Below are 7,576 nucleotides of genomic sequence, written 5' to 3'. Positions count from 1 at the left end.
ACTTTGGGAGGCAGAGGTGGGTGGAACACGAGGTCAGGAGTTAAAGACCAGCCTGACCAAGATGGTGAAACCCCGTCTCTACTAAAAATACAAAAATTAGCTGGGAGTGGTGGATGGCGACTGTAACCCTAGCTGAGGCAGAAAATTGCTTCAACCCGGGAGGCGGAGGTTGCAGTGAGCCGAGATCACGCCACTGTATGCCAGCCTGGGCGATAGGGCGAGACTCCGTCTCAAAAAAAGGGGAAAAAGGTATAATTTATGCCTTTTCTGGGCAATGCTGGGTCTTTGCTATAGCTGCCCAGTACCCTAAGTCAGACTGAAGATGTACAGTATGGTTTCCGTTAATTGTGTAAGCCGACAAACTACAGGTCCCAGGATAGCTTGAGACTTGTAGTTGCTCACAAAGATGGGTCCGGTGCTGCGGTGCTTCCTGGGAGATGTAGTTTCCTGTGTATTGAAACCTGGACTGCTCGCTGGCCGGCAGCGCACCGTTTTGAAGGTCCTAGCCCACCTGGGCTGGCTCACGCGCACGACTAGCCGCTCCCATACAGCACGCCCGGACTCTGTCGTCGCTTAAGGCCACTCCTATTCTACGGCTGACCCCTGGTGGTCACGTGGATCTGTTCGCCACGCAAGTCTGGGTCCTTCGGCGATTGACCGGGGTCCTTGCTGTTCGGGAGCCTCTCCTAAGCTGCCTGTTCGCGCGAGAGTTTGGAGGGGCGGGTTTGGGGTCGGTGTCTGATTGGGGCTCGCACCGCAGCACGCTGGAGTCCCGCTTAGGTACCAGTTAGCGTCAGGGGAGCTGGGTCAGGCGGTCGCCGGGACACCCCGTGTGTGGCAGGCGGCGAAGCGCTCTGGAGAATCCCGGACAGCCCTGCTCCCTGCAGCCAGGTGTAGTTTCGGGAGCCACTGGGGCCAAAGTGAGAGTCCAGCGGTCTTCCAGCGCTTGGGCCACGGCGGCGGCCCTGGGAGCAGAGGTGGGACGGATGCGGGCGGCGAGGCGCTGGGCGCTGAGGGTTGGGGATGGACTGAAGCGAAAGCAATGGCGGAGTCCTTAGAAAGGGGGCTGGTGTCCGTACGGGTAATCACTTACGGGCTGGAGGTGGGGACGCAGGAATCTTCGGTGCAGGATCCAAATGGGCCCTAGTTATTGCTCTCCTCGCTGGCCTCCTGGCCTGACTGAGGGCTCCCTGCCGGCAGTTCCCTAGTGCCTGTAGTCCTCACGTAATCGCCAACTTACCTCCTGTAGCTGCCACAAAGCCCCGTGAACCCTAGGCATGCAGTGCTAAAGTACCAACACTTAGGGCCTCACCTATCCACGTAGAGTCTGGGGCTGAGCCGCAAGTCCTGAGCTCGCGCTCCCACCCACCACCCTGGGGGAATCAGAGCCCTCAAGCGCTGGAACAGAGAAGCCCCTTTGTGTCCCGGCCATTTCCTGGAAAGTAGAGCCAGAGTCACAATGAGGCCTTTGAAAGCCTTGGGGTGAGGATTGGGGGGGTCAGGGAAAAATGGAGTCGGCTCCTCACACTTATGTTTTATTCCCACTCAAACCCAGGTGGAGCGACCCCATTACGCTAAAGATGAAAGGCTGGGGTTGGCTGGCCCTGCTTCTGGGGGCCCTGCTGGGAACCGCCTGGGCTCGGAGGAGCCAGGATCTCCACTGTGGAGGTAAAGGCACAACGGGAAAAAGAAGTGGAGGAAGCAGAGCCTTGGGAGGGCATGAGATCCAAGGCCTGGGAGAAGGATGAATGGAAATCCTGGGTTGATCCCATTCTCCTCACACCCTACCCCCTACCCTGTCCCCTGCTCTCATTCTCTCCTCTTCCACCAGCATGCAGGGCTCTGGTGGATGAACTAGAATGGGAAATTGCCCAGGTGGACCCCAAGAAGACCATTCAGATGGGATCTTTCCGGATCAATCCAGATGGCAGCCAGTCAGTGGTGGAGGTAACTGTTACTGTTCCCCCAAACAAAGTAGCTCACTCTGGCTTTGGATGAAATTCGACTGCTTAAAAAGGACCTTGGTTTAATAGAAATGAAGAAAACAGACTCAGAAAAAAGATTTGGCTCTGTCTCATTTGGAAGAAGCTGCAGGCTTATTCCCCATGCACTTGCTTCCTGGCTGCAAACCTTAATACTTTGTTTCTGCTGTAGAATTTGTTAGCAAACAGGGAGTCCTGATCAGCACCCTTCTCCACATCCACATGACTGGTTTTTAATGTAGCACTGTGGTATACATGCAAACATCCGTTCAAAATCTGAGTCGGAGCTAAAAATAAAAAATGAAAAAACAGAAATAAGAATAAAAGGTCTTATCCTCATAATTAGGAAATTTTAATCGAAAACAACACACATGTACACAAAGGTGTATCTAATAAGCAATATATAAGGCAGTGTTAAGATTACAGTGCTAGCCTGGGCATCATGGCAAAACACCAACTCTACAAAAAAATGCAAAAGTTAGCAGTGCATGGTGGCATGTGCCTGTAGTGACAGCTGCTTGGAAGGCTGAGGTGGGAGGATCACTTGAGCCCAGGAGGTCGAGGCTGCAGTAAGCCGTGATTGTGCCACTGCACTCCAGCCTGGGAAACACAGCAAGACCCTGTCTCAAAAAAAAACCAAAACCCAGCACTTTGGGAGGCCAAGGCAGGCGGATCACCTGAGGTTAGAAGTTCGAGACCAGCCTGGCCAACATGGTGAAACTCCGTCTCTACTAAAAATACAAAAAAGTAGCCAGGCGTGGTGGCTCATGCCTATAGTCCCAGCTACTCAGGAGGCTGAGGCAGGAGAATCACTTGAACCCAGGAGGCAGAGGTTGCAGTGAGCCAAGATCGCACCACTGCACTCCAGTCTGGTTGACAAGAACAAAACTCTGTCTTGAAAAAAAAAAAAGGCCGGGCGCGGTGGCTCACGCCCGTAATGCCAGCACTTTGGGAGGCTGAGGTGGGCAGATCACAAGGTCAGGAGATCGAAACCATCCTGGCTAACATGGTGAAACCCCGTCTCTACTAAAAATACAAAAAATTAGCCGGGCGTGGTGGTGGGTGCCTGTAGTCCCAGCTACTCAGGAGGCTGAGACGAAAAGAATGGCGTGAACTCGGGAGGCAGAGCTTGCAGTGAGCTGAGATGGTGCCACTGCACTCTAGCCTGGGCGACACAGCGAGACTCCTCTCAAAAAAAAAAAAAGAAAAGAAAAAAGATTATGGTACTTTAATAGCTGTTGTTCACAGAGCCTACACTACATCTTTAATACTGTGCTTACTGAGGATATTAGTCTCAATTTAAACAAAATTATTATTATTTTTTTGAGATGGAGTTTAGGGCTTGTTGCCCAGGCTGGAGTGCAATGACACGATCTCGGCTCACCGCAACCTCTGCCTCCCGGGTTCAAGCGATTCTCCTGCCTCAGCCTCCCGAGTAGCTGGGATTACAGGCATGCACCACCACACCTGGATAATTTTGTATTTTTAGTAGAGACAGGGTTTCTCCATGTTGGTCAGGATGGTCTCGAACTCCTGACCTCAAGTGAGCCACCCTCCTCGGCCTCTCAAAGTGCTGGGATTACAGGCGTGAGCCACCACGCCCGGCCAAAAATAAAATATTAATGAACACATGGACACAGGGAGGGGAACGTCACACATCAGGTCCTGTTGGGGTGTTGGGGGCTAGGGGAGGGATAGCATTAGGAGAAATACCTAATGTAGATGACAGGTTGATGGGTGTAGCAAACCACCATGGCACATGTATACCTATGCAACAAACCTGCACGTTCTGCACATGTATCTCAGAACTTAAACTATAATTTAAAAAAAAATTATCTTCATCTATAGAAATTAGAAGTATAAGTTGATCAGGTTAATCAAAAAATTCTGTTTATAACTTGGAGCTAATGTTAACTGTCTTGTTTCTTAGAATTGTACAATGAGGTGCCGGGCACGGTGGTTCATGCCTGTAGTCCCAGCACTTTGGGAGGCTGAGGCGGGTGGATTACCTGAAGTTGGGAGTTTGAGACCAGCCTGACCAACATGGAGAAACCCCGTCTCTACTAAAAATACAAAATTAGCTGGGCGTGGTGGCACATGCCTGTAATCCCAACTACTCGGGAAGCTGAGGCAGGAGAATCACTTGAACCCGGGAGGTGGAGCTTGCGGTGAGCCGAGATCGCGCCATTGCACTCCAGCCTGGGCAACAAGAGTGAAACTCCATCTCAAAAAAAAAAAGAAAAAAAAAAAGAATTGTACAATGAGGTAAAATAAAATCATATAGTTGAAACTACTGCCAAGTACAGTGGCTCATACCTGTAATCCCAGCACTCTTGGAGGCCAAGGCAGGCAGATCACTTGAGCACAGGAGTTCGAGACCAGCCTGGGCAACATGGCAAGACCCCGTCTCTACAAAAAAAATATAAAAAAGTAGCTGGGTGTGGTGGTGTGCATCTGTGTGAGGCTGAGATGGGAGGATCACCTAAGCCTGGGAGATCCAAGCTGTAGTGAGCCTCAGTCATCACACCACTGCACTCCAGCCTGGGCAACGGAGTGAGGCCTGTCTCAAAAAAAAAAAAAAAAAAAAAAAAAAGAAGTACTTTGAAACTATCAAGTAAACCATATTAATTTAAAACCAGGCCGGGCGCGGTGGCTCATGCCTGTAATCCCAGCACCTGGGGAGGCCAAGGTGGGCGGATCACTAGGTCAGGAGATCGAGACCATCCTGGCTAGCACGGTGAAACCCGTCTCTACTAAAAATACAAAAAATTAGCTGGGCGTGGTGGTGGGCGCCTGTAGTCCCAGCTACCCGGGAGGCTGAGGCAGGAGAATGGTGTGAACCCTGGAGGCGGAGCTTGCACTGAGCCAAGATAGTGCCACTGCGTCCGGCCTGGGCGAAAGAGTGAGACTCCGTCTCAAAAAAATAAATAAATAAATAAAATAAAATAAATGAAAACCACACTAGGCCAGGCACAGTGGCTCACGTCTGTAATCCCAGCACTTTGGGATGCCGAGGCAGGCAGATCACCTGAGGTCTGGAGTTTGAGACCAGCCCGACCAACACAGAGAAACCCCATCTCTACTAAAAATACAAAAGTTAGCTGGGTGTGGTGGTGCATGCCTGTAGTCCCAGCTACTCAGGAGGCTGAGGCAGGAGAATCACTTGAACCCAGGAGGCAGAGGTTGCAATAAGCCGAGATGGCGCCAATGCACTCCAGCCTGGGCAACAAGAGCAAAACCCCATCTCAAAAAACAAACAAACAAACAAAACTAATTAAAATCAATTAGGGAAAGCTTTTTAGAATAGGTTGTTGGAGCTAGATTTGGAAAGAAAAGTAAGGATATAAATTACTAATGTACAGAGGTAGAAGAGAGTGACCCAAGGCTGAGGACATTTCTAGGTGCCTTATGCCCGCTCAGAGGCCCACCTCACAGAGCTGCTGGAGGAGATATGTGACCGGATGAAGGAGTATGGGGAACAGATTGATCCTTCCACCCATCGCAAGAACTACGTACGTGTAGTGGGCCGGAATGGAGAATCCAGTGAACTGGACCTACAAGGCATCCGAATCGACTCAGATATTAGCGGCACCCTCAAGTTTGCGGTGAGCTATGGGAATCGGTAGCTGGTTCTTGGACATTAAGGGGTTGTTGGAGAACCAATTAGAAAGTTAGGCTGATATCCTTGTCCTCCTCTTTGGAAGTGAAGGCAAGAGGCCTCTTATTGCCCTGTGTCACCCATTTCTCCCTTGGGTTGGCAGTGTGAGAGCATTGTGGAGGAATACGAGGATGAACTCATTGAATTCTTTTCCCGAGAGGCTGACAATGTTAAAGACAAACTTTGCAGTAAGCGAACAGGTAAGCTGCCCCCACTTTATCTCCTGTTCTAGTAGCTCTGTGGAACCTGACATTCCCTAACTCACCCATACACCCCCATCCCAGAAACCTCTGGTATTAGGTCAAGAGCTGTCTTCCATTTCCCTTGGCTTAGGGACTTGGGGTGTTCCTCCACATTTTCTGTCAGCTTTCAGAATTTGTGTCCCCTTGACCCTGAGATACAGGTGAGAGGACAGTGGGGATGTTTTATCATTTATAAGCATATATTCTGCAGAATGGTGGTTGGTGTGTGTTTGTGTCAGCTTGGTCTGGGAAATTTTCTTGATACTGGCAGATATCAGTATGAGAATGGCATATTCCTTTAAATTGTTTGCCATTTGCAGATCTTTGTGACCATGCCCTGCACATATCGCATGATGAGCTATGAACCACTGGAGCAGCCCACACTGGCTTGATGGATCACCCCCAGGAGGGGAAAATGGTGGCAATGCCTTTTATATATTATGTTTTTACTGAAATTAACTGAAAAAATATGAAACCAAAAGTACAAACTGTGTTGTCTTTTCATGCCTGGAATTGCCCTTACATTAAGCTTGAAGATAAGGAGTTATATAGACAGGAAAGATAATGGAGGAGAAAGAAGAGTTTTGGGATTGATACAGGATAAAGGTAGGAGAGGCCTGAACCTTTAATTCTTCTACCTTCTGAGATTCCACTCCACTCATAAACTAGATAAGCTTTCAGTCAGTGCCCACTCAATACCACGTCTTTAGAGTCTAATTGTGGAGAATAGAGGAACCTCCATGAGGAAGCAGGGGAACATAGTGTATGGTAGTGTAGAATTCTAGAAATCCCTTGTGTTCATGGCTGTTGAAACATAAAGTAAGACAGGGCTTGGTCTTGAAGGAAATAACGGATATGCATTATTCTTCCTTCCCTGCCCATCCAGATGGAGGGACCAGCAAGAACAGAGACAGGAAGGGGAAAATGGATGTGACCAACTCAGCTGAAAAGTAAGGGCTTTATCGGATAGGGACAGACGAGGTAAGGAAGGTTGTTTAATGAGAGGCCTTGCTTGCCAGCCTAAGCTTTTAAATTTGATGCCAGTGGCAACAATAAAGTGTATCTATCACTAGCCATTGTCAATCTGGACTATAAGTCTGTCCACAATTCTGTGTGTAGAGATTCCAGACTGGGGCATAGGGATGAAAACCTAAAGGATACCTTCTTTTGGGAAATTCTTTTTTTCTTTTTTTTTCTGAGATGGAGTCCCGCTCTGTCGCCTAGGCTGGAGTACAGTGGCGCGATCTCGGCTCACTACAAGCTCTGCCTCCCAGGTTCACGCCATTATCCTGACTCAGCCTCCCGAGTAGCTGGGACTACAGGCGCCCGCCACCACACCGGCTAATTTTTTTTTTTTTTTTTTTGTGAGACAGAGTCTCGCTCTATCGCCCAGGCTGGAGTACAGTGGCGCGATCTCGGCTTACTGCAAGCTTCGCCTCCCGGGTTCACACCATTCTCCTGCCTCAGCCTCCCAAGTAGCTGGGACTATAGGCACCCGCCACCACGCCCGGCTAATTTTTTGTATTTTTAGTAGAGACGGGGTTTCACCATGTTAGCCAGGATGGTCTCGATCTCCTGACTTCGTGATCCGCCCGCCTTGGCCTCCCAAACTGCTGGGATTACAGGCGTGAGCCACCGCGCCCGGCCTGCACTGGCTAATTTTTTTGTATTTTTAGTAGAGGCAGGGTTTCACC

General features: G+C 49.7%; 1 protein-coding gene and 1 long non-coding RNA gene across 3 annotated transcripts, besides 3 other annotated features; one reads left to right on the top strand and one right to left on the bottom strand.

Moving 5' to 3' along the window:
- Positions 237 to 825: an enhancer, noted in NCBI's record as "NANOG-H3K27ac-H3K4me1 hESC enhancer chr12:56709757-56710345 (GRCh37/hg19 assembly coordinates)". NCBI's record gives its function as "activates a minimal SCP1, AML or CMV promoter by ChIP-STARR-seq in primed H9 embryonic stem cells {active_cell/tissue: H9 hESC(primed)}" and the evidence as "EXISTENCE:reporter gene assay evidence [ECO:0000049][PMID:30033119]".
- Positions 452 to 6,954, top strand: CNPY2 (canopy FGF signaling regulator 2). 2 transcript variants are annotated; one of them, NM_014255.7, is made up of 6 exons: positions 810 to 977; positions 1,556 to 1,668; positions 1,832 to 1,947; positions 5,384 to 5,587; positions 5,744 to 5,840; positions 6,203 to 6,954. In NM_014255.7, the coding sequence occupies exons 2-6, from the start codon at positions 1,581 to 1,583 to the stop codon at positions 6,244 to 6,246; spliced, it is 549 nt and encodes a 182-aa protein (NP_055070.1). In that variant the 5' UTR covers positions 810 to 977; positions 1,556 to 1,580; the 3' UTR covers positions 6,247 to 6,954. The 2 variants fall into 2 exon arrangements, with proteins under 2 accessions (NP_001177920.1, NP_055070.1); NM_001190991.3 differs by lacking the exons at positions 5,384 to 5,587; positions 5,744 to 5,840; positions 6,203 to 6,954 and having other exon boundaries at positions 452 to 977; positions 1,832 to 2,303.
- Positions 457 to 606: an enhancer, noted in NCBI's record as "active region_6490". NCBI's record gives its function as "activates an Ori minimal core promoter by ATAC-STARR-seq in GM12878 lymphoblastoid cells {active_cell/tissue: GM12878}" and the evidence as "EXISTENCE:reporter gene assay evidence [ECO:0000049][PMID:35858748]".
- Positions 687 to 736: an enhancer, noted in NCBI's record as "active region_6489". NCBI's record gives its function as "activates an Ori minimal core promoter by ATAC-STARR-seq in GM12878 lymphoblastoid cells {active_cell/tissue: GM12878}" and the evidence as "EXISTENCE:reporter gene assay evidence [ECO:0000049][PMID:35858748]".
- Positions 1,990 to 5,384, bottom strand: CNPY2-AS1 (CNPY2 antisense RNA 1). The gene is made up of 2 exons (XR_002957416.2): positions 4,299 to 5,384; positions 1,990 to 2,269 (listed from the first exon to the last, which is right to left on the bottom strand). It is a non-coding gene; the product is annotated as a CNPY2 antisense RNA 1 (long non-coding RNA).
- Positions 6,955 to 7,576: the final 622 nt, after the last annotated feature.

The sequence above is a fragment of the Homo sapiens genome, chromosome 12, assembly GCF_000001405.40.
Source record: "Homo sapiens chromosome 12, GRCh38.p14 Primary Assembly".
NCBI classification, from domain to species: Eukaryota; Metazoa; Chordata; class Mammalia; order Primates; family Hominidae; genus Homo; species Homo sapiens.
Note: the sequence above shows the minus strand (reverse complement) of the source record. Positions and strands in the feature narration are given on the sequence as shown.